The sequence below is a fragment of the Homo sapiens genome, chromosome 12, assembly GCF_000001405.40.
Source record: "Homo sapiens chromosome 12, GRCh38.p14 Primary Assembly".
NCBI lineage: Eukaryota > Metazoa > Chordata > Mammalia > Primates > Hominidae > Homo > Homo sapiens.
The window spans coordinates 13,036,069-13,062,187 of record NC_000012.12 but is presented as its reverse complement, the minus strand read 5'-3'; the positions used below and the strand labels follow the sequence as shown (position 1 = coordinate 13,062,187).

At 42.7% G+C, this 26,119-nt stretch overlaps 1 protein-coding gene across 1 annotated transcript in view; it reads right to left on the bottom strand.

Moving 5' to 3' along the window:
* The window catches only part of FAM234B (family with sequence similarity 234 member B), a 39,069-nt gene extending 21,262 nt beyond the window's left edge, over window positions 1-17,807 (bottom strand). The window contains exons 1-4 of the mRNA NM_020853.2: window positions 17,748-17,807; window positions 6,242-6,637; window positions 3,639-3,737; window positions 425-613 (exon numbers count right to left, since the gene is read on the bottom strand). Of these exons, the coding sequence (NP_065904.1) occupies window positions 425-613; window positions 3,639-3,737; window positions 6,242-6,637; window positions 17,748-17,784 (721 nt within the window). The 5' untranslated portion in view covers window positions 17,785-17,807. The remainder of the gene's footprint in view (window positions 1-424; window positions 614-3,638; window positions 3,738-6,241; window positions 6,638-17,747) is intronic.
* Between the last annotated feature and the right edge of the window lie 8,312 nt (window positions 17,808-26,119).

Genomic DNA, 26,119 nt, shown 5'->3' with positions numbered 1-26,119 from the left:
AGCTAAAAGGCCAGTCAACAAGCCTCAACAAACCTTTATTTCTTCACTGACGTATTTTTTTAAGTAGTTAATGCCAAATTTACACATGGCCCCCATGTATACCAAATATGAAGAATTAAAGTTCAGTCGTCTTTTGTACAAAGAACAGAGTTGGGAGACTATTTACACACCAAAGGCCTCAGGGTAGTTTCTGTTTGGGTAATTCAGTTCCAGCCCCATCCTATCACCAAACAGGTTGAACCATGGATCTGTTTACTCAATCTGCCCAAACCTTTTCTCTCATTTCTCTTAATAACCATATTCCAGATCAGTAAATCAGATACTCCACCACGTGAGAGTCAAAAGGTCCCCTACCCAACAGATTATTCTAATCCAAAAGTATGGCTCGTAGGAGCAAAGTTCTTTTGTGGTAAATGGTATTTACCTGACGTTGCATTGAATGCGCTGAGCATCTTGTGTGTCCCTGTCACAAGGCAGATGGTTTCAGCCAAGCTTCCTGGCATCAGCTCCAAACATGTGATATCTCGAGCCTCCTCAGGGAGAAGACTAGACCACAGTGTGCTGCCATTCATCCCCGAAAGGCATACAAGATTAGCAGCTGGTCTTGAGACACCTAAAAGCACACAAGAGAGATAAAAAAAGGAAAGCAGGCAAAGGAGATAAGAGGCAGAGATGAACAAGAGGCCAGAAAACTGCAAGTGGATGGTGGTAAGGCAGCAACCACACTTGTGTATTCAGCTCCCTCTCACACTTCTGGCAGCAAGATGTGAACACAGAGTGCCTGTCATCTTTGCTGAACACGCTTCTCATGTAAGACAAGAGCTGTGGCCTCCTCTACACTGTCGAATGCATCTCCACTTCTGCACCTTTCCCAACACTACTCTTTACATGTCTGCCACCTCGGCCCCAACTAAATGGTGATATCCTTAAGGAGAAAGACTGTCTCACTAATCTCTGTACCTACAGCAACCGACTGTTTGCCTAATAAGAGACAGGAGCAAAATCAAGAATGCGAAAAAGTAGTTAAGAACAAAAAACCAGGAGGAAAAGATATGCTCGGAAACATGAGACTGATCCAGAACGTGTGCAGCGCGGGGAGCAAAATACCTGAATTCTAATCATCACTAATAAATGCTTCCTGAGAGCAGAAAAATATTTTCTTTTTTGAAAAAATAAACTTGAAGATTACATATAGCAATGATGAGTGGGTCTTGCTAGTCTAGAGTTCTCTGGAATCAATTGATTTGGTCCCAGTCAGGAAAAAATATTTGGGAAGACCTAATACCTAGATCCAAGTACAGCTGGTAAGGGATTAGAGTAGCCATGATCCTTAGTAAATAAGCCTTTATGTCACTTAATTACTACATCAGACTCAGAACTTTCTCCCTTGTCAGTTTCACATTCACTCTCAGGATAGGGACACGTGACTCATTTCATACAGTTCCCACTTTCAGCAACAACTAATATGGATAAGGAAACAAAACTTTTAGAGCTTCCTTCTACCTATTCCTCAGCACGACTAATTGAATATACAACCTAAAAACAAGTGACAAACAATGGCTGGCTGTTTCAGACCCTGTTGCCAGAAGATATATATGACAAACAGAGGTGGTATATGGTAACTTCCAGGCTTCTCAAAGGTGCTAGGATCCCTATCCTGTGTGGTTCTTCCTACTGGAGGACCCTACTCCATCCTACAATGCTCTGACTCGTCTTTTCCCAGATGGTGATGGATTACCCCTTCCTGCTAGACTATGACTTCTCGAGGCCAAAGCCAGGCTCCTCTTGTTCGGCAGTCTGTGTGTAACCATCAGAACTCTAGAGAAGGTGCAGAGTGGCTGCCGCACAGTTAGTATCAACACACAGTTGCTGAATGAAGGAACAAGTGAATAGACAAAAAACTCAATCCCTCTGTGTCCAGTAGCACAAAGCTTTGTGGGTTATGGGCACAGCAGCTTGGCATGAGGGTCAAGGACATGAACTCCAGAGCCAGACTCCTTGGATCCGAATCCCCAGCTCTATCATTTACCAGCAGTAGGACTGGGCAAGTTCTTTAACCTCACAACGTCTCACCTTCCTCATGTGCAAAAGGGGGATAATAATGGGTCTACTTCACAGGACTGTGTGGAAGGATAAATTCCTTCATACGTTATGTGCTGACAATGGTGTATTAACACATAGAAAGCACCATATGTTCGCTATATCCTTATTTGTACAGTCTGTGGCCAAATCAGCCTGGTCCATATTGTGTCCAAACCCATGGCCTTGCCATTATGAGTCTTGGTATGAAGCAAACTACGTAAGATACCAAATGACTAAAAACATCTCTAAATCTAAGTAGATGGGGAAGATTTTTACTTCAGAAGTCACGGGCAGGAAAAGTGTAATCAAGTTTTGATTGCACGGAAATCTACTCCTAGGCTGGAGATGCTCTCTACAGCAGATCTCCACCCAGATTGCTTCCACATCTCATGTGGGCCTCAGAAAGCCACTCCTACTAATGTAAGAGATGTGGTTTAGAATTCTCTAAAACACACCTAGACATGTATTCCAAGGCCTAGACGACTTAAAAGCAGTCACTAGGGCATCCTCAGCATCAAACTAGGTCCCTGCATCAGCTCACAGGCTGCAGTTTGACTCCACTGTAGTGGAGGCTGCAGGATCAACCAAAAGCCTTGTGTACTTAGGCTGAAATCAGAACGCATTTTTTCTTTTTCTACAGCTGACATGTGTAAAAGCTGGGATCCCAGAAACAGCACCCTAAATGAGGGTAAGTTGTGGACGGTTTCTTAAGGAGACTATTCACAAAGATGTGGCCAGCATGTAGAAACACCACAAGTGATAGTGCAGACCCTCAGAACTGTTAGGCTCCCCAACAAAGACACAAGGAGAGGACGCAATTACTGGAATCCAGAAAAGGAAAGTCCTATAGGAGGGCCACCTTGAAACGAGCTGTGACCCAGGGTCAAGGCTGTAGCAGCCATTCTGCAGTGACCCCGGCGGGGAGGGAGCCAGGGGAGTGAATACCTCCCCTCACACTCTTACTCCCCTCCCATTCCTGAGCTGTGCTCCCCATTGAAAGGAGACCAGCAGGCAAGGAAGCCTGTTGATACCATCCATACAGCTCAGCTTCCCCATGCAGAGAGCAGGATGGACAGCAGGTCTACAAGTGTAAACTGAAGGGGGAAAGGAAAACACCCGGCCAAGAGGTATTTGTGTAAAGATGTATAAGTCTATGAACAAAAGTTTTCTTCCAGGGATAGGAGGGTAGCATAAAGTCAATGTTCACTATAATCTAAGAGGCAATGGAAAACCAGGAGAAAACCCAAGGAACCCGAGGACTAACACTGTTCGTTGCAAAGTGTGTGGACAAGTCACTTCCTCTCTGCATCACAGTTTCTTCACTGGCCTGGTCACCACTAAAAATTCCTTCCAGCTCTAACTCCCTCCGATTTCTTAGACTGAGCTTTATTTATATGTGGAAGCTTTCTGATGAGGGTTTTCATGTATGCCAGAACCATGGTAACTTTCTGTTCACTGCAGATCCTTCTCTGCAGTACCACTTGGGACACAGCTCTGATGTTTTCTCCTAGCTGACAGTGCCCCTGTAGCAGCCTTGAAAAAAACACGTCTCTTACCTACTGCACTCCCGTTCCTTGACATCACAAAGGAGAGAAGCACATCACGCAGGCCATCTCCATTCACATCAGCCAATTCCAATGGAGACAGGTCCCCACCTGTTATACACATAAAAAACCAAAAAGGTCCTGAGCAAGTTACCACAAACCAGTTCTCTGTTGCCAGTAGCTCTATAAACACCAGGCAGACTCCAGTTCCTCGACTAGGTATAGTAGACACACCTCTCCCTACTCCCCCTGCTAAGTGCATGGAAAAGCCCTGGACACTGTACATAAAACAAACATAAGACAACTCTAAAAGGCAGAGAGAAGGAAGCAGACCAGCTAGGGACTGCAAGACCCAAGGAATGACAAGGTGATGAGTCCCCTGGGTTTTCTTTTGGCCTCATAATACCCAGATAGGGTGCTGGAAAAGCCAGCAACCCAGAAACACCACAGATACAGACAAAAAAAGCCCCAGAAAAGGCTGCCTTCCCTAGCCAAAAGCCCAGGAAAGGTGCAGTCCAGCAAGACAGGAAAGTTGTAGATAATAACTGCTCTACTCCAACCAAACAGATAAAATTATCAGCCCAGCTCCACCCACTCATATAGCAAAGGCTGAATGTGGAGCCTGGCTCCCACCCTCTCCTGGATGTAACAAGGTACCCCACCACCACCACCACCATCAGGGTCATGTCAGAGAAAGCCAGGTGGGGGCAAGGACTGTCATCCTCATCTAGCAGGACCAAAGGAGTTCCACCCCAACTAGCATCAACAAGGCAGCCCTCTCCCTCCTCTCCACGGGGGTGGTGTCAGCAGAGGCCTAGTGAGGAGTCTGGACTTCCATCCCCCCACCACCCAAAAGTGTGGACTCAGAGGATGCCCACCAAATTTGGAGAGAATTCACACATTGCTAGTGGAAATGTAAATCGGTACAACCATGTTGGAAAATAATTTAACATAAACTGCTAATAATGAACATGCACACACCCTATGGTATGATCCAGCAATTTTACTCCTAGGTTTATGCCTTAGATAAATTCTTATACACTGCAATAGGAAACATATACAAAAATGTTCTTAGCAGCATCATTTATTTATTTAAAAAAAAAAAGACTGGAAGCATTACTTAAAGGTTCATCAACAGAAAAATGGATAAATCATGAGATATTCATACCATGGAAAAATCAGACAGTAGTGAAAATGAATAAACTCCAGGTATAATGCATCAATATAGATGAATCTCAATAAATTGTTTTCAAAAAATTAAGTGGCACAAAGAAGCAGGTCACAGGCTGGGTGCAGTGGCTCACAACTATAATCCCAGCACTTTGGGAGGCCGAGGTGGGTGGATCACCTGAGGTCAGGAGTTCAAGATCAGCCTGGCCAAAATGGCAAAACCCCGTCTCTACTGAAAATACAAAAATTAGCCAGGCATGGTGGCGAGCTCCTGCAATCCCAGCTACACGGGAGGCTAAGGCACAAAAATCACCTGAACGCGGGAGGTGAAGCCTGCAGTAAGCCGAGATCATGCCACTGCACCCCAGCCTGGGTGACAGAGCAAGACTCTGTCGCAAAAAAAAAAAAAAAAAGCAGTTCACAGAAGACTGCATGATTAAATTCATGTAAAATTTAAAAACCAGCAAAAGTAATGAATATACAGTTTAGGGGTACATATTGACATGGTAAAACTTTACAGAAAAAGGAATAATCAACACAAAATTCAGGATAGCAGAGGCCTTTGCTGGGCAGAGGAGGATGTGGTCAGGAGGGACACACAAGAGATTGTGAAGGTCTCAATGATGTTCTATTTCTAAAGCTGGGTGGTAGACACACCAACAATTTGTTACCTTTAAACTGTATATAAATATATGTAAATGAAACTTGCCTTCAGAGAAACTAAAGATGAGAACACAGAACTCATCAGAAGCTAATTCAACTGGGATCAGAGAAGTGGCAGAGATAAACATTTCTAGATCAAGAGGATGCCAGGGGTCTGAGGATAGCTTAATCCAGTTCACAAGAGACAGGACTACTCAACACAGGTGAGATGTAAGTCCCATTCCAGAGCAAGAGGTTTTAAAGAAGCCTACTCCAAAAAGGAGACAGAATAGCTGGAATTACTCAGACAGCACCGCCCTAACCATGAGGAGCAAGAAAGAAAAGATAGCAACTATCTTTTACAGGAAATGAAATTATTTTATAATTTAAATTAGATCAGACCTCTATCATCAAAGAATGTCAAAGGGTTCTGCAAGAGCTCTATCCCTGGTGCAACCAGGCCTTGAACCTTGCTTTTCTCTGTAAATAGCCCTTCCTACAGCTTTGCATTCCCCTGATACAGTGCTGGCTCCACAGCAGGAATCCAGCAAACCAGCCCTGTCCTCTCTGGATCTAATAAAGACCAATGCCAACAGACACAACAGAGCAATGATTCCCAGGTTTTTGGAGGTGTTTGTTTTCTTTCAAATCTTAATCTCCTTGCCACCTCCACACAGTGGGGACGGCAGGGTGGGGAATGCCGCATGACACATATTAAGTTTTAAGATTTGGAGGAAAATTTAAATGTAATCAGACATAGCATGAAGTTTCACAGGATTAGGGCTGAAGATTCTGCAGCTCACCTCCCTGGGAGCCCAAGTGGCGGCTCCAGGTGCTGTGCAGATCTCTGGGAGGACAGGGGATCAGGAAAGCACACAGGAGCACCAGGATCATCGAGATCCCCAAAGTCAGCAGGAAGACAGACGTGCGCACATATGACACCAGGGAGGAGGCCGCCTTCTGTTCCAGGCCCCCAAGGGGTTCTGAGGGGTAGCCCTCCGTGGTGACTTCTGAAAGATGTGGCTTTGCAGCCTCTGCAACCTCAGCATCTGAGTCGGGTTCTGGCGCTTCTCCCAAAGGACTCTTCCCATTTTTGACCCCTCCATTCTTCTGCAGGTTAAGCACCAGATCGTCTTCGCTCTCATCACTGTCAGCCTGGGTAAGTGGATCATACTCCCCTAGGTCTGGGCTCTTCTTCCCTGAAAATACAGAAAAACAGAGAGTCAAGGGGAACTGGGGAGAAGACACCCTCACCAAATATATGGCAACTGTAAATACCCAGAAGAACACGGAAAACTAAAACAAAAAAATCCAGGTTTACATCAAGTTTGAACCTTGGTGGCTATCTGTAAAACAGAAGCCAGTGAAGCAGGGGTTAGGAATGGAAGGAAAAACAAAAGCACAGTGCTCCAGGATCACTGCCTGCATGAGTTTAAGACAATGGAAAAGGAGGCAGAAGTTAGCAAATTTAAAATGCCTTTAGTTTAAAAAGAAAGCTCTCTTAATGTGTTTGAATCTCACTCAAGAAAAAGATCATGGCTCCACATCAACTCTCCATGTGCCTAATGTGCATATTGCCTCAGATCTTCTTAGATCTGTGACATCCTAATCTTTCCTGGTAAACTTTTAGAACAATTCTTCTCCATACGCTGCTTCTCACAGCCCAATATCTGTGGCTTCCCAACTGTTTCTATGGAAACAACTTAGAAAGTTGAACACTGAATGTTCATCTGAAGATGTATTGAAATCTCACTTCTAAGAACCATCCTGTGATTTGAATGCCCTTTCAGTCTATCTTTTAGTAAACAGTGTTTACCCCAAAAACTGCTCTTCTGAGCAAGTATTCTGGGAGGGGTGGTGATCTAGCCAGTACACAGAGGTAGGGGACTTGTCTTGAAGGTGCTTTGCATGGCAAGCACTTTGTTTTTACTTAGCTTGCAGTGTTGATTTGGGATAGCTGAGAGAGAAATTACAGAAGAGCCTAGGTACACCTCCTCCCAAGCCACCCACCCCTTGGCCTCACTGCCAATGACTGAATGATTTTATGCCTTTATTTCATGTTACCACCAAGTAACAACCAAGAAAATGTTTCTTTTGGGGAGACTTTATGCAGTAATCTATCACTAATGTAAACTCTATCATTAAATCTTTTGTTCAGAAGAAATATAAAAAAGACCACAAAACCCAGCTAATTAAAAAGGGGAAAAGAATAATTATTAATGCTAGTGTCTACCTCTGGGTCACTATGGCCTTGGTGATGTCATTTCATACATTATATCTCAGTTTGTTCAATTAATAAAATGAAAGAATAAAACACTATATGGAGACCAGATTGTTGCGGGAAGGCAAGGACCCCAAATGGAGGGACCAGCTGGAACCACGGCAGAAGAACATAAATTGTGAAGATTTCATGGACACTTATCAGTTCCCAAAATTAATACTTTTATAATTTCTTATGCCTGTCTTTACTGCAATCTCTAACCACAAATTGTAAGATTTCATGGACATTTATCACTTCCCTATTAATACTCTTATAATTTCTTATGCCTGTCTTTACTTTAATCTCTTAATCCTGTTATCTTCATAAGCTGAGAATGTACGTCACCTCAGGACCACTATTGTACAAATTGATTGTAAAACGTGTGTTTGAACAATATGAAATCAGTGCACCTTGAAAAAGAACAGAATAACAGCGATTTTCAGGGAACAAGGGAAGATAACCATAAGGTCTGACTGCCTGCGGGGTCGGGTAGAATAGAGCCATATTTTTCTTCTTGCAGAGAGCCTATAAACGGATGTGCAAGTAGGGAAGATATCACTGAATTATTTTCCCAGCAAGGAATACCCTGGGGAAGGAATGCATTCCTGGGGGGAGGTCTACAAATGGTCGCTCTGGGAGTGTCTGTCTTATGTGGTTGAGATAAGGACTGAAATATGCCCTGGTCTCCTGCAGGTACCCTCAGGCTTACTAGGATTGGGAAATTCCAGCCTGGTAAATTTTGGTCAGACCGGTTCTCTGCTCTCCAACCCTGTTTTCTGTTAAGATGTTTATCAAGACAATACGTGCACAGCAGGACACAGACCCTCATCAGTAATTCTAACTTTGCCTTTGCCTTGTGATCTTTATTGCCCTTTGAAGCACGTGATCTTTGTGACCTACTCCCTGTTCCTACACCCCCTCCCCTTTTAAAATCCCTAATAAAAACTTGCTGGTTTTGTGGCTCAGGGGACATCACGGACCTACCGATATGTGATGTTACCCCCAGAGGCCCAGCTATAAAATTCCTCTCTTTGTACTCTTTCTCTTTATTTCTCAGACCGGCCAACACTTAAGGAAAATAGAAAGAACCTACGTTGAAATATTGGGGGCTGGTTCCCCCAATACCAGATGTTGGAAGTAAAACCTTTGATGTTTAAAGTTAGTATTTGGTACATTAAAAAAATCAATAAATTTTAGATTTTTTAAAATGAACATTCCACAGAATTATAACATTAAGTACTTTCAAAAAAAATCCAAAGAAAATACTGAATAATCTGTCATCCTAATAACTAGAAATTATTTCTATTTATTTTTATTTTCAAAACTATACATTTTGCCCAATAAATATTAGACTTGATTTTTAAGGGCACAAATTACAAGAAAATAAATCAATTATTAGAAACTTAATTCAAAATAGTACTTTCAGAATATGCCATGGGGTCAGTACAGGTTCCAGATAATCTCCTACAATTTGTATTTCTACTCCATGAACCAAATTATTTGGTTAATTAGGGCACACCATTCCCTAACCATCCCAGATAACTCTACACATAATAATTTGCATACAGAGCCATGGGTTGTTAGAATAATATTAACTCTAATGCTTTTTAAAGTGATTGTTTGTTCTTGTTTTGTTTTTTAGCTAAAATACACCTGACATGATAAACAAAATGTGATATGTACGTACCATGGAATATTATTCAGCTCTAAAAAGGAAGGAACTTCTGACACTTGCTACAAAATGGATGAACCTTGAGGACATTACGCTAAATGAAATGAGCCACACACAAAAAGGCAATACTGTGTAATTCCACTTATGTGAGTTATCTAGAGTAGTCACACTCACAGAAACAGAAAGTAGAATGGTTGTTGCCTAGGTCTGGAGGTAGAAGGAAAAGTTGTTACTGAGTAAGTATAGAGTTTCAGTTTTGCAAGATGAAAAAGTACTAGAGATTGGGTGCATATACAGTTAATACTGAACTGTATACTTAACATAGTTAAGATGGTAAATTTTATGGTGTATGTATTTTTTGACAATTTAAAATGTTTAAATATATATATATATATCTGAAAAACAGGAAAGCACACAGAGTTCTCAACTCTAGAGTTACTTGAGAAAGCACAGCAAGAGACCTTAAAGATCACATAATCTATCCCCACCCCTATCCCAAACTTACAACTAGCTACTTACAAAGACCTATCAACCAGTTACTTAGCAAACACCTGAATGTAACCTGTATTAGGGAATCCACTGGCCTCCAATCTAGAAACCAATTCTTTACACTGATTCAAGAATTTTTTTCTGGGAAGTTGCCAATTATCTGTCCTAGTTTTAATTTCTGGGATCCCTCTCTCACATGTAAGTCCTTCAAACACTCAAAGGTATCAATCATAAGAGACATATGATATGGTATTTAAGAGCTCAAGTCTTCACAATCAAACATCAAGCCAAATCCTGGCTATATCTCTTATGAACTATGTAATCTCAAATTTCTTAACTTTATTGAGCATCAATTTCCCTATTTATGAAATGGAATAATTATTCTTTTTAGCTCATATGATTGTGATGAGAATCAAATAAGATAATATATGTCTGCTTCTTAGTGCCTGGCTTATAGCCACACAATAAATTTTAGCTTCTATTATTATCATTACCATCACTGGTGCTAGTATTGTATCTCCCAGTGCCCTCCCCCACTCTTCTCAGCTCCAACTTAAACACCTCCACCTCTTTCAACCCATTACTTAAAGAAGCATTGTTTCAGGTGTCCTCAACATCCTGGTCATTCTCCTCTGGACACAATGTGATATGTCTGTGCTTTTTAAAATATGGTTCTTGGAACTAGATACAATCCCAGGTACAGTCTGACCAGAGAAAGGGAGGGCAGAGCTATTTCCTACCTACTCCAGATAGCAAACAACAATTCAATTTCTATAACGTAAGATCTTGAGAGCTTTCTTGGCATTCACATCACCTACTGATTCAATTAAAACTTCCAAGCATTTTGAACACATGCTTAAGCCACCCTATAATTGTGCAATTGGATTTTTAGCACCAAGTGAAAAATTTAGCATCGACATCAAATTCAATCTTGCTAGTCAGTCTCCACCTTGCAACAAACATATCAGGCTAAAAACAGCACCTTTGTCAAAGTGAAATCATTAATAAAACACTTCCCAGCAAAACAGTTTAAAGGAAATTCATTTTTATCATGCTATGTACTATCACAGGCAGGGAGGAAGAGAAGCATATGCTACAGGAATTTATAAAATCTGTAAGAAATTTATAAAAACAATTTGAAGCATTCTTTGAGAAAAAAGCTGCTGTCAGATTGGTCTGTTTAGCAAGATTACATGCTTCTAGTTAATGATGGCAAAAGTGGGCATTTCTGTCACACTGTCTTCCCTAAAACCAGGAAAACAAATACAGAAAAATAAAAATAGAACACAAAATAGGAAACAGCCACATTCCCAAACCACAATTTATGAACTAAATGCACTGAAACTTGTACTCAATTGAGAAAGCTCAGTAAGAGTAGGCAAATACATCTTGCAGATATATATTGCACATATATTGCAGATCTTCAGCAATGAGCAGAGTTCACAGAATTAATAATCATGACAACAATAAGATGATGACGATGATGACAACTGGAAGTGTATTGAGTGCCTACTGTCCCAGGCACTGATCCAAGCATTTTGCATGTGTTAATTCATTTAATCCTCACATCAATCTTATATGGTAGATATTATTATTATTATTATTATCCCCCATTTTATCAACAAGAAAAATAAAATTAAAGAGGTAAAATGACTAAGATCACACAACTAGCCAAAAGAAAAGCCAGGATTCAAACCCAGGCATCTGACTGCAGAGTCCATTTGTTGTTCTAACCAACAAGTTATACTACCTCCCTTGTTCCACAAATATAGCCAAACCAGTAATTGCTTGCTTGGAAAGACAAAGTCTGGGGTCACAGAAGCACCAATGAGCCCCATTCAACACCACAGAATCAAATCCAAGTAGGACCGAATGAGGAAAAGTACAAGCTGACATCTTCACAAAAAGCACACTGTCAGGACGGCAGGTTAGAAAAGTAACTGGGCATAATCACTCTGACTGGGCCCAGTCAGGATACAGAAGCCAAACAATAGTTCAAAGAGGACAAGTTTAACATAAAAAAAATTACTAAGCAATGACAGGAGAGTAAACATAAAGATGAGAAGAGAACTCTAAAAGGTCCCCTAGGACTGAGAGACAATATCCAAGGCAGGACAAACTTGATATTTAAAAGGGCTCAGACCCACTTTCACAAATCAGTCAACAAAGGTGAATTTGGAGTTCAGATGCAATAAATTGATAACTGGCAAAACAAAGTCAATGAAGGAAATGCCAAACCAGCAGCCTACAGTCCTGTGCAAAGCCTCCTCCTAGCCAGGATAGAGACATCCACACAGGAAGAGTGCTGGTGGGGAGCCAGCTGACTTAACAGGCCTGGATTACATTCTTGCTTCCAACGGCCCTAGATCACCCCTTTGGCAATAGCCAGGCTGTCAAACAACCGCCCCATTTAAATATAAGTAATAATCAGAAAGGAGCCATGTTTAGTACTCATTCCACAAGATACCACAAAGCTCTACAAATATTCAAGAAAGAAGTAACAACGAAACATAACAAACAATTAGCTGAAAAACAAATGCTGGACAAATCACACCACAAGATGGAAGAAATAATGAACATATACTTCCCCATGGAGTCTGAGAAATTTAGGAAAATCGTCTTCTCTGAAATAAGCACTCAGGAAAACAATGGAAAAAATAACAAACCAGTTTTAGAAAAGAAATCCTTATTGGAATCAGCTAAAGGAACAGATATTGCTGAAAACAGAGTCAGAGACATAAAAAGAATAGACTAGTGAAAATCAAGCAAAATGTAATGGAAATAACTACAGCTGGCAGTTCTGAACACTTATCCTACACTCTTCCAAGCCCTTTTAATGTCTTATCTCAGACCAGGGGTGCTGGCTCACGCCTGTAATCCCAGCACTTTGGGAGGCCAAGGCGAGCAGATCACTTGAGGTCAGGACTTCAAGACCAGCCCGGCCAACGTGGCGAGACCCCGTCTCTACTGAAAATACAAAAATTTGCCACGTGTGGTGGCAGGCGCCTGTAACCCCAGCTACTCAGGAGGCTGAGGCATTAAAATTGCTTGAACCTGGGAGGCGGAGGTTAGAGTGAGTCGAGACCATGCCACTGCACTCCAGCCTGGGCGACAGAACAAGACTTTGTCTCAAAAAAAAATTCTTATCTCAGTAAATCTTCATAACAACTATGTGAGGTAGACACATTACTGTCTTCACTTTCAAGATGAGGAAGCTGAGGCTTGGAAGTTTAAGTAATTAGCGGATGTGGTTTGGCTCTGTGTCCCCACCCAAATCTCAACTTGAATTGTACTTCCATAATTCCCATGTGTTGTGGGAGGGACCCAGTGGGAGATAACTGAATCATGGGGGCAGTTTCTTCCGTACTGTTCTCATGGTAGTGAATAAGTCTCACGAGATCTGATGGTTTTACAAGGGGAACCCTGTTTCGCTTGGTTCTCATTCTCTCTTGCCGCCACCATGTAAGATGTGCCTTTTACCTTCCACCATGATTGTGAGGCCTCCCTAGGCACACAGAACTGTAAGACCATTAAACCTCTTTCTTTTATAAATTGCCTCGTCTCAAGTATGTCTTTATCAGCAGTGTGAAAACAGACTAATACATTGGCCCACAGATAAACAGCAAGTGATAGGTAACAATTCAAAACCAGTCTGGCTTCAAAGTCTGTACGGGCTACATATGATCCCGTGGAAAAAAAATCAAGGCTTTAAAAAGACTAGAAACAACGTGATAGATACTGACAACAAAGGTGAGCCAATATATGCATGACCGAAGAGGATAACAGAAAAGAGGATAACAGAAAAGAGGATAACAGAAAACAGAAAAGAACCAAAAGCAGTATTTTAAAGAGTTGCCAAAAAAAACTTCCTACAATAAAGACCTAAAACTGCAGAATAATGAGTACACAGAGTCCCAAGAAAAACTGATTCAGAAGAATCAATACTGAAATATATCCTAGTAAAGGCACAGGACTTCAAGGACAAAGAAGGAATCCTATAAGCAGCCAGGCCAAAGGAAAAAGAATCAAGTCACTAATGACAGGAACAAAAATCAGGCAAAGATTTCTCCATAGTAACATACACTATTAAAAGATAGCGGAGCAATATCTAAAAAGTCCTCAGAGAAAGAACATGCAATTTGATGTCCAAGCATTCTGACCCAGCCATGACATCACCGAAATATAAAGACAAGCACACAAGCGCTCTGAGTTATCATATTCCTATGCTTTCTTTACATCACAGAAGACTAGGGGCCAGTTCTTGGCCAGCCTTTTGAGAGGAATAAATACTTTTATACTAATTTTTTTTTCAGATACTGCAAAAACAAACCTCCGCTTAAGGATTACAGACTGCAAGTTTTGATTAGAGAAGTCTTTAATAATATTTTTTCTATCTATTTACAGAAAGACAATAAGAGAGCGTGAAGTAAAAGACGTCCACCAACTTGCCTTAAAAGAAGTCCACCAACTTGCCTTAAAAGAAGTCCACCAACTTGCCTTAAGTCCTACTCAGGCTGAGGAGCCAGGCGTCAAATCCAGCTTCCAAGCTTAGGGCACTTAGCACTCACTCGCTTCCTTGCTACTTTCAGCCACCACCCAAATTTTTAATGAATGAAAGGTTTTCAAAGAATAAGGGAGAGGGCACTGATTTCATAACAAATCATTATAAATGCGCTTTCCACAGCTATTGCTTTTCCTCTTAGGAAGACTGAAGATGCTGCTTAAATATAATAGGATTTCCAAAATGGTAGAGAGGAAAACACAAATAGGAAAGTGATGCAACTATACCATACCCAAACGTTTTCAGGAAATATACTAAAACATACACTATTCTATAACATATACTATACTATAGTATACACTATACTGTGCATATACTATACAATACACTCTACTGCAACTAAAGGTAAATAATTCATATCATGGGTTAGTTTACCCAAGGGCATATAAAGACTAAGTTACACAAACAAAATAAATCATAAAAAATCATTTTGCTCTGATATTCCCTCCAGTGTTTGACCTTCAAACTTTAAAATGGCCTAAGAAAAAAAATATATATATACTTAGGAGATAAGCTGCCCTACAGGCTTTATGAATGTCATATTGGCCTTCTGCTACTAATTAACCTCATTTTATGCATGTGAGCCAAACATCTTTCCTTCTTGAGCTTAGCGAAACTGCTCTTTCATAACAAGACTGCTGAGATCTGTCAATAGCTCACTATTACATCAAGCCTTCCTTCAGGTATCACATTCATAAATGAGCACACTGCTGATGACAACAGCTAACACTTACTGACTAATTAACATATGTCAGAGGTTACTAGACCTCCTAAGTACATCCATCTCCTTTACTATTTCAGATAACCCTAGGAGGTAAATATGTAGTAGAATGTGTGGCATAGAGTGAATGTTCCATAATAATGTTATTGTTACAGATGAGGAAACTAAAGCTTAAAGAGATTAAGTAACTAATTAGGTAAAGACTGGATTTGAACCCGAGCCTGTCTCATGCTCTCAGCCACCACTCCAACCTGACTTCCTCACACATGAAAACAGTGGGGATGTTGGGGCCAGACGCAGTGGCTCATGCCTGTAATCCCAGCACTTTGGGAGGCCAAGGCAGGCGATCACCTGAGGTCGGGAGTTCCAGACCAGCCTGACCAACATGGAGAAACCCTGTCTCTACTAAAAATACAAAATTAGCTGGGCATTGTGGTGCATGCCTGTAATCCCAGCTACTCGGGAGGTTGAGGCAGGAGAATTGCTTGAACCCAGGAGGCGGAGGTTGCGGTGAGCCGAGATCACACAATTGCACTCCAGCCTGGGCAAGAAGAGCAAAACTCCGTCTCAAAAAAACAAACAAACAAACAAAAAAACAAACAAAGAAAACAGTGGGGATGTTAACTACAGGAACATAACACAGTAGCCCAAACAGGACAGCAGTCTCAGGACCCCAATTACAGGGGAGCCAAAAAGAGCTATATAAAAACAACTTGTACCTAATGCAAAAACTAAAAATAGTATTTTGGGTGGAGGGAAGAAGAAAGGGCAAGAAGGAGACAAGGAAAAACGCAAGTGAACATTTTCTCCCATCCAAGTACTAACCAGGCCCGACCCTGCTTAGCTTCCGAGATCAGACGAGATCGGGCGCGTTCAGGGTGGTATGGCCGTAGACGCAAGTGAACATTTTCTTAAAACCCACATCACATGAAAGAACACATGCCTACTATATCTGGGCCTAAAAAAGCATCAAGCATACCTCAGGGCTCAGGGCCAAGCTGCCTGCCAAACAGGCCCATGGACTGGACTATGGGAACCCCAACCAGTTCCTACAACTAATACTCCAGGGAGTAATAACACCACAGCCTTGGGGCATAAGAACACAAAAGACCTCAAGAGTTGCTAAAGCAAGATTTTCATGCATTCTCATTCTTAGAGAATAACAATGACCTACACTGAAATTTTAAAAAAGGACTCTAAAAGAAAAAAAAAAAAGAAATAAAGCTAAATGTCTGACATCTTATTACCCCTCTGGGAGGACATCATTCTACACTAAGGATATACAAAGTAAAAAAGTAAAAAATTAATCCTGCAGGTAAAGGGCCACGTCTCTCCTTTAATTCCAGTGTTATGCACACATTCCAAGGCAGATGCTATCAGTGTTCCTTCCAATGTTCCAATGAGCCCATATTAAAAAAAATAATAATCTGTCTGAGGTCATGAAGTCTGGGGACAGAAACGCAAATTAATATCCAACCTAGCGTCATCCAAATGGCAAGGTTCGCTTCAGGGTAGCATACTGGAAGCTCCTTGAGAACAAGGACCCTGTAATCCCCCTGCAAGCTCAAACTAGCTATCCAACCAAAACCCAAATAGCCCTCTCTAGAGATAGCTATGAAAGCAACTGCTTTTCCCTCTAATACAAATTATCAGCAAATAAATGTTTATAGCTTAATGCTTAAAACTTACCTAGGTAGAGCCATCAATTTTTCTAAAGCCTAATGTTTAAAATTTACTTGGGTGGAATAAATATACTTTTATTTAAATATCAACTTTCTAACAGTACAATCCTACTCTGGAGGTTTAGGAGGAAAAAAAAAAAAAAAGGAAAAAAAACTTGGAGCTGCTGCCCGAAGTACTGAATCAGCTCTGGAAGTTGTCATCACCCCTAATGCTGCCTTAAAGAAGATTCCATACATTATCTTCAACTTATAGGTGCCAAATCATTTCCCATGCTTAATCTCGGCAGCTGGAGACTGACCAAGTGGAATCAAAAGCTCAGGATTTAGAGTGAAAAGACCCCTGACGTTCAAGGCCGAGCTTTCCCAATACTTGTGAGACCTTGGACAATTCACTTAGCCAAATAACTCTCATTTTCTCTTCTGTAAACTAGGAAGGGACGTAAATACCTGTCCCACCTGCCTCATGGATGCGTCGTTGCTGCCGTTAGGTGGAGGGGATGATCCACAGAGGGCCACTCGCCGTCCCGCCGCCCCCGCCCAGGTCCAGCCAAGACAGAAGGCGCCGGAGTCCCTGCGGTGCTGGGTCCGCGGCGCTCGGGAAGGATGCTCCTCTCGCCAGCCTCCCCTCGGGACAGCGGCGACCGGCGTTCTGACATTCCCCGCCGTAACACCTGCTCGGCGCCCTCTCCCCGCGCGTCTCCGGGTTCGCCCCGCGCCCGAGACCCCTGCCCCGCTGGGCGCCCCTCTCGCCCTCTGGTGGCACAGAGACCCCAGCCCCAAGGGACTGCACCCTCCTCGGCACCGGGCGCCTGCAGCTGAGTCTGGGTTGAGGCCAGGGCCCGACCGGCCTCGCCCCCAGAGCCTCGCCTCCCCTTATTCCAACACCGGCGGGGACTGGGTGGTCGCAAGCATGCGACTCCTTACCCGGCAGCTTGAGCGCCCTGGACAGCACGGTCGCCATGGCTGAGGCCCCGGTGCGCGTGCGCGCGCCCGCGTTCTGCCGGGAAGTGTAGTTCCGAGCGGCGGTGCGTGGGGCTGGGACCGGGAAAGGTGGGACCCGCTTGCTGGGGACAGAGCTGAGGGAGGCCAAGCCAGAGTACACGCTCCGCAGGCTTTTCTCCCACCCTACCTATGCAGGTCACCTCACCACTCTGAGTCTCACTTGCCTCGTCAGTGAAATGGGGAGAAAATACCCCGTAAGCTTGCAGTGAAAATGATTCGAAGGAGATATTTAAGGAGGTGTGGATTGTGCAATGTGCGTGGGCTTTGAAATCAGGCAGACTGGATTTGAATCCTGCCTGAATCACTTACTAGCTGGGCCATCTTGGGCAAGTCCCTTGGGGCGACTGAGCTGCCGCTGCTTTTTTTTAATTAAAGACATACTACCTACTTCACAAGCTTGCAATGAGAATTAAATGATACGACCTGTTTAAAACACACAGCACACAGTAGGCACCTAGTAAGAGTGTTTCTATTACGCTTCTTAGGTAGAAGTTGAAGTTTCCTGGAGCTCGAACCCTCATTTATTGCTCCCAGTTCTTTACAGGTGTCTACTCAGCACCCTACGCTGCAGCTTCTAGTTGAAGGGTGTAGAAGGAGGATCCGACTGTGTACATACATCCAATAGATGCAGCATCTCCAGCTCCTCAGATTTCAATGCTTGACCTTTAAGGCATCTGCACGCTCCCCGTAATCACCCCAGCTTTGCCTGAATGATTTTTGCGGAGAGCCCGATGCCCAGGAATTCCTCCTTCCTTGGCTCCCTGAGCTTTCCCCCACTTTGTCTTCCTTGTCCCTCTGGAAATCTCCTTCATCCCTCCATAACTTTTTTCCATTTTAACATAGGAACTGCAGCTTAGAATAGTATTTCTCAAATTTAATGTACTTTCTTTTCAATTAAAGAAAAAAATTCAAAGCAGCTGCCAAATGAATCAGGATCCTTACCTTTTACATAGAGAATACCTGTGTGTTCCTCTCTAGCTACTGAGTGGAATGTGAATACTTTTGCTGCCCAAACACCCACTGAGGTCACTGTGGAAAATGCAAACACCCAGGCCCTCTCTGACTTCTGAACTTGGCTTGCCTCAGGACCAGGCACAGTGGTGTAGAAGGAAGAACTGACTTGCTTCTTTCCCACACGCAAGTGATCAGCATTTTAGTGCAGGAATGCTAATACTGTGTTATCTTAGAACTGGAACAGATCCTAGAGGCTATCTAGTCCCACTCTCCTTGTTTTGTTTAAGAGAAAGCTGAGAAATAGAAAGGTAATGTAACTTCTGAGTGTCACAACAAAAGCTCCAAGATACATCTCATTTGCAGGCTGCCTAATTCCCGTGAGAAACTGCAGACAGGACTATCCTGTGGGAGTAATCTGAGAGTCTCCAGCAATCAGTCTCACCTCCTTTCTTCCCTTGGAAAAAAAAAATGTCATTGTCTCTGATAGAGCACAGGCTCTGGAGCCAGGAGCCAGGCCTCCCGAGATCAAATCCTGACTCTATCATTTCCTAGATGCCAGGCAGAGGGTTAGTTGCTTAATTTCTCCCCACCTCAATTTTCTCATCTGCAAAATGGGGACAAAACAGTTCCTAGTTTATAGAGTTCTCCTGAGAATTAAATATATATGTAGAAAGCACTTACAACAGTGCCTGGCACTTAGTGTTTTCTAAGTATTCACTCTTCTTTTATCGATAATTTCTTAATGTTTTAACAATTTAAAATTTGTAACTTAATAACAAATAATACATTTCATAGTAATTTAATGGTTTAGTAATGTATTTATTTATTAATTCTTTCAACATTCTACAATACCCAAAATTTCTACTGCTTGCCACTTCTCTGGAGGCATGATTAAAAAACATATTTTACATCTATGTAGGTCATCTAAAAGGAGCAACACTACAAGTCACAATGAGCCAGTAGTAGCTTGCCTGATATCAGTTTAACTAAATGGAACGCATTCCTGAAATATGAAGACTGAGAAAAATAACCTGTGAATGTGACAGGGATGTAGAAAAATGTTCATTTTAGTTGCAGAACAAGAACTTGAGTTTCTAGGAGAAAGTTTGGGTGGAAAGGAATAGCCAGGTCACACAGGATAGGAAGAAAGAAGAAAAATCTGTCTCCTTTTCTTAGTGAAAAGGTATATTCCGGGAGAGTACCTTCTTCTGTGATATAAATAAAATAAAGATGTATAAAGTTTTATTTAAAAACTTTGTCTCAGAACCAGGCACAGTGGCTTGTGCCTGCAATCCCAGCACTTTGAGAGGCTGAGGTGGGAGGATTACTGGAGTTGAGGAGTTGGAAGCTGCAGTGAACTGTGATTGAACCACTGTACTCCAACCTGGGCAACAGTATGAGACCCCTGTCTCAAAAACAAAACAAAACAAAAAAAAACTTTGCTTCAAACTGTGTAGTTACCCAAAGTGCCCATGTGCATGTACACACTTACATGTGTACATATAAACATGTGTCAGTGTACATACATCCAATAGATGCAGCATCTCCGGCTCCTCAGATTTCAATGCTTGACCTTTAAGGCATCTGCACACTCCCCATAATCACCCCAGCTTTGCCCGAATGATTTTTGCAGGGAGGCCGATGCCCAGGAATTCCTCCTTCCTTGGCTTCCTGAGCTTTCCTCCACTTTGTCTTCCTTGTCCCTCTAGAAATCTCTTTCATCCCTCCACAACTTTTTTCCATTTTAACATAGGAACTGCAGCTTAGAATAGTATTTCTCAAATTTAATGTACTTTCTTTTCAATTAAAGAAAAAAATTCAAAGCAGCTGCCAAATGAATCAGGATCCTTACCTTTTACATGGAGAATACCTGTGAGTTCCTTTCTAGCTACCTAGTGGAATGTGAATACCTTTGTTGTCCAAACACCCACTGAGGTCACTGTGGAAAATGCAAACACCCAGGCCCTCTCTGACTTCTGAACTTGGCTTGCCTTCCTGACAAGTACAAGAGTGACCGGGGCGGGATGCCTATGAACAGCCTAACCTGCCTGGTGGCTGTGCCTGCTTGAAGAAATTACTTTTCTGAAAAATCACAACTGAAGTCAGAAAATCACCTTCTATTTTTCCTACATTGATCTACAGTGAGAGTGTTCTTCCCCAACCTTCTCAAGTTCCCATAACTCATAGAGGGAACCCATATTGCTGGTTATTACCTTTGTAATACTCCAAGTACTGCTCAGAATCTCTAAGTGTCCTGCATGGGCTTATGATCAAATCTGACCATCTAATGCTTGCCTTTCCCTGGACAGTGTGGCCACTTCTGCTGGTCCTGACTATCCCCACTAGGTTTCACCACCTCTTCTTGGAACCAATGCCACTGTATCTACCAGCGGCCGCCTCCCTTCCTCCTTGGTTCCACTGCGCTGCCAGGCCCCTCAAAAACTGCCTCCTCTCAAAAACTGCTGCCTCTTCCTGTATCTCTCACTAAATGCCACCTCATATTTTAGTGCTCCTAAAATGTCAAAGCTGTGAGGGGCAAAGGAAACCAGGGAAGACTGCCTTTCTCTCCTTTTCATATTACACTTTATTAGGAAATTGCCAATGCTATGCTGCTACTCCTTCAGGTTGAATGCAGTATTTTCATTAGACAGAGCTTCTATTTTTACTTAGCAGGTCAACCAGAGCAAGATAATTGCTGTAACAAACAACCTCAAGATTCCAATGATTTTAGAGTGTAAAAATTTATTTCTGCCTATGTCAGAGTCAAGGTGGGGGTGCAAGTAGACTGCACTGGGGCTCTATTCCTCCCAGCCATTCAGGGACCCAGGCCCTTCTGTCTCCAGCTGCTTCATCCTTAGGGCCTCGGAGGCCTCCACTGGATCGTTTGCATCCCAGATCATGCAGGAAGTGTTATGGGCCAGGCCTGGAGCTGGTGTATGTGAATTCTGCCCACATTTATTAGGCTAGAATTCAGACAGAGAGTATGTGTGCCAGGAAGGTATGAGCCCAGGAAGAAAAGGAGACAAGTTTGGGGAGCATCTAGCCAGTGTCTGCGACACTGGTCACCCCATGCCTTTGTAAATTACAGACCTGAGTTCTTGAGTTCTTGATGGTAGGAAAGGGTTCAGGCGCCGCTCTCCTTAGGATTGCCTTTCTCCTGTAGGGACTAAGGCTTTGTTCCTGAGCTGAGTTTCTTGTAATGACTTATGGGTCTAAGCTGAAGCTCTCCCAGGAGGCTCCCCTCACTCCCTCTGCAGAGAGATTTCTGGAAGCCATTCCTACATCTATCAGCAGAGGATGGACAAATCTGAACTCCACTGACTTATCTGAAGCTGAGGGTAGTACCCTCTGCTACACTGGTGCCAAAAAGGGTCAGGAAGCAGTAATTAGTATGAGATTCGAAAAGCAAAAAGAAAATGTCATAGCAAATAGCAGTGAGGGCAGTGAGATTGAGAAAAGCGAAAGAGGTGCACAGCAGAGGACATTTAGGAGTTAAATGCAGATGTCAAGGAGCCTGTGAAATCAGTCTTGCGTGAGGATCAGGAAGTTTGAAACGCATGTGTACCAGTGGCATATTCACTTCTCTTCACAGAGAACTGAACTCTGCCCAGGAGTTGCATGGCTTGTCATGAAGACAAACAGGTTTATGTTCCCAGAATGTCCTTTGATAAAACACAAGGGCTCATCTCACTCAGATCATACAGACTTTTAGCCTATAAAACTTTCTAGAGTCTAGACTATAAAATGCTCTGTGGGCCCTGAAATTTAAACAAAGGCTTCTTCTTAACAAGCCTCTGGCTGGAACATATGTTTGAGAACAGTGTAATTAAGGACAGACACACCCAGGCCAAATGAGCTCTTGGTCCTCCCATCCCTCATTCTGGCATGTTCATGTCAACCGAAGGACCTGTAGTAGCAGTGTAGATGGTAACAGCCCCCATTCGCTGAGCACTCATCACCTATAAAAGAAGACAGTGTTTTGGAGTCTTGCCAGTCTTGATCAGCCCCTTCACTGCCTTCCAAAAGAAAATGCAATGGGCCAAGCATATTGTGACTTGGGGAGTTTTCCTGAAGATTCAAGGGGCCAGGGAAAGGGGTCAAGGCACATAGCATTTCCCCCCCCCCGCCGCCCCCCCAAAAAGCTCTGTTAGATGCATCTCTTCTCCCAGGTCTCTGCTGTTGGCCGCATCACTTCATCTTCCCCACCACTAAGACCTCTTGGGTCAGTTCCACTCTCAGGCTTTCTCCTCCTCCCTTATTTCCTGCCTTCTGCGGCCGTTAGCTTCAACAGGAGGCTATAGTCTCACCTCCATCCTATGGGCAGAACCTTTCCATGGAAGGTAAACTGAGATGGATAAAGCCATTTGCCCAAAGTGACACAATTCCCAAGGACTTGAAGAAGGATTTGAATGCAGGTTTTTCTGTCTTTTAATCACAAGCAGTGACGTCAGATACATGGCATGTGTGCTCCAATTTGTCTTTTCTTCTTCCAGGGCACATGTCACTCACCACACTCTGACAGTGGGCCCAGACATAGCTTCAGAATCCCTCACTCCGCTGTCCAGGGAGCCACTACCTATCAATTGGATTCAGCTCAAAAATTGAAAACTATTTGTAATCCCTGCCTCACTTATGGCATTGTAACCAAACTATAAACTCTTTTATAAAAGTACTTGATTCATGACAGATTTTAGTGCTGAATGTAGCTGATATTTGGCCAACATTTGTTCTCATTTGTTGGGAGTGCTAGCTGATTAGTCAGACATGTTCTGGTTAGTCAGGACCTATGCAGTACTGTGTTTTTCTTTCCTTTTTTTTTTTTTTATATAACCAAGATTTTTTTTTTTTTGAGACAAGGTCTTGTTCTGTAGTGTTTTTCATATTTAGATTACATCCCTGTTGAGACTTCTCAGTTCTGCATGTCTAGCTCACTGGTTAAGTCCTAAGTAATCCTCTAAAAGTCAGTAAATCAGGTTACCACTGGCTACGTGACTGAAGTTCTAGAATACTTCATTTTTCTGCACATCTTAAAGTATGTATTATAGGCAGCTGTGTGTTGTAATATGAATAGATATACCATATTAAATTTGAATATCTGTCTAATATTAAATTTGAATATGTGTATTATATTAAAACTCCCATACTAAATATTGAGTTCTTAAAGAATGGAAGTGAAATTTTGTATCTTTTTAGCCCTACATAATGCATAGCATATGGCCCCAGATATGTATTGGATAAATGTGAATGTAAGAATAAATAGCCATCACATTATGAGAAAAGAATAAAATCAATTTAGAAAAAAAAAAGGGGGAGGACCTTATTTATTTTATTTATTTATTTATTTTGAGACAAGGTCTGGCTCTATTGCCCAGGCTGGAGTGTGGTGGCACAATCTCAGCTCACTGCAACCTCTGCTTCCCAGGCTCTAGCAATCCTTCCCACTTCAGCCTCCTGAGTGCTGGGACTATAGGTATGCACCACCACACCCGGCTAATTTTTGTGTTTTTTGTAGAGATGGGGGTTTTGCCATGTTGCCCATGGTGGTCTTGAACTTGTGAGCTCAAGTGATCTGCCCGCCTTGGCCTCCCAAAGTGCTAGGATTACAAGTGTTAGCCACCTTGCCCAGCTGGACTTTATAATTAATAAAACTTTTTTCCTACGCTCATATTCCCTGCTTTGGATAATGCAAATATTCTCATGTTCTTTCACCACTCTTCTCCATACCAATGTCATAGTCCAAGCACCCAGGCTGCATGACTTGGGGAAACGCCGTCCCTCTGCATGTGAATCTCAGCAGTGTGCACATGCTCCACATATGCCTCATGGCTGTCACTTCTCCCCATCCCTCCTGTTAGGTGGACTCAGCATTTCTGGTAATTACCTCTGCCCATTTCATCTCTGCACATCTGTAAAGAATTATAAGGCCGGGTGCGGTGGCTCACGCCTGTAATCCCAGCACTTTGGGAGGCTGAGGCGGGCAGATTACCTGAGGTCAGGAGTTCAAGACCAGCCTGGCCAACATGGTGAAACCCCGTCTCTACTAAAAATACAAAATTAGCCAGGCATGGTGGCACACACCTGTAATCCCAGATACTCGGGAGGCTGAAGCAGGAGCATCACTTGAACCCAAGAAGAAGAAGTTGCCGTGAGCCCAGATCGCCCCATTGCACTCCATCCTGGGCAAAAAGAGTGAAACTCCATCTCAAAACAAAACAAAACAAAAAAAGGAATGGTAACACAAAATAGGAAAAGTTGACACTTAGTATCAAGTTACTGCTCCTGGAGTCCACTGACTACAGCCTTCTCATGAGGCCATTCCTAGCCAATGCTTTCAAGCAGCTGGATATAAAAGAGTAAACAAATCCTGTAAGCTCCTTCAAAGGCCTTGCAATCTAGAGGAGAGACAGACATTAAGCAAGCAATAAATAAATATATCATTACAAAGTGTGGCAAGCACAATGAAGGAAAAGAACCTAGTACTGTGAGAAAGAATCACGGAGACATCATAGATTAGTTTGGGGAGTGAGGAAATGAATAACTCACTGAGAAACTGATACTTAAGCTGACACCTGAAGAATGGGTAGAAGTTGTTCACGTAAAGGCTGAAGAACAGGACGTGTAAAGGTCGAGTCAGAAAAAAGCTTGATTCAGCCGGGCACGGTGGCTCACGCCTGTAATCCCAGCACTTTGGAAGGCCGAAGCGGGTGGATCACTTGAGATCAGGAGTTCGAGACCAGCCTGGCCAACATAGTGAAACCCTGTGCCTACTAAAAATACAAAAAATTAGCCAGGCGTGGTGGCACATGCCTGTAATCCCAGCTACTCGGGAGGCTAAGGCGCAAGAATTGCTTGAACCTGGGAGGCGGAGGTTGCAGTGAGCCAAGACTCCACCACTGCACTCCAGCCTGGGTGACAGAGACTCCATCTCAAAAAAAAAAAAGAAAGAAAGACAAAAGCTTCGTCCTATGGAGGAAACCAGTGTGCCTGAGAATAGTTTCAATGTGAGAAGCAAGAGGCAGACAGGAACCTGATCATGCAGGTGCCTTGACACTGAAGGACTTTAATTAGCAAAGTTGATGTGATCCAACTGGCTGCTATGCAGGGAATAAACTGGAGGAGAACAAGAATGGAGAGAGGAAGACCAGATAGTTACAAGCAAAAGGTCCTGGTGGTGGATTCAGTTACTCATGCTTTGTCTCCCAGACACAACGTGTGCACAAATTCTCACTTTTCACCTGCTTTCCTGTTCTGGCAAGAAAGAAAATATGGGTACTGTTTATTTTTCTCTTATTATACAAACTATTAAGACTAACAGAACTCCTGTTTCTACTCCTGCGAGC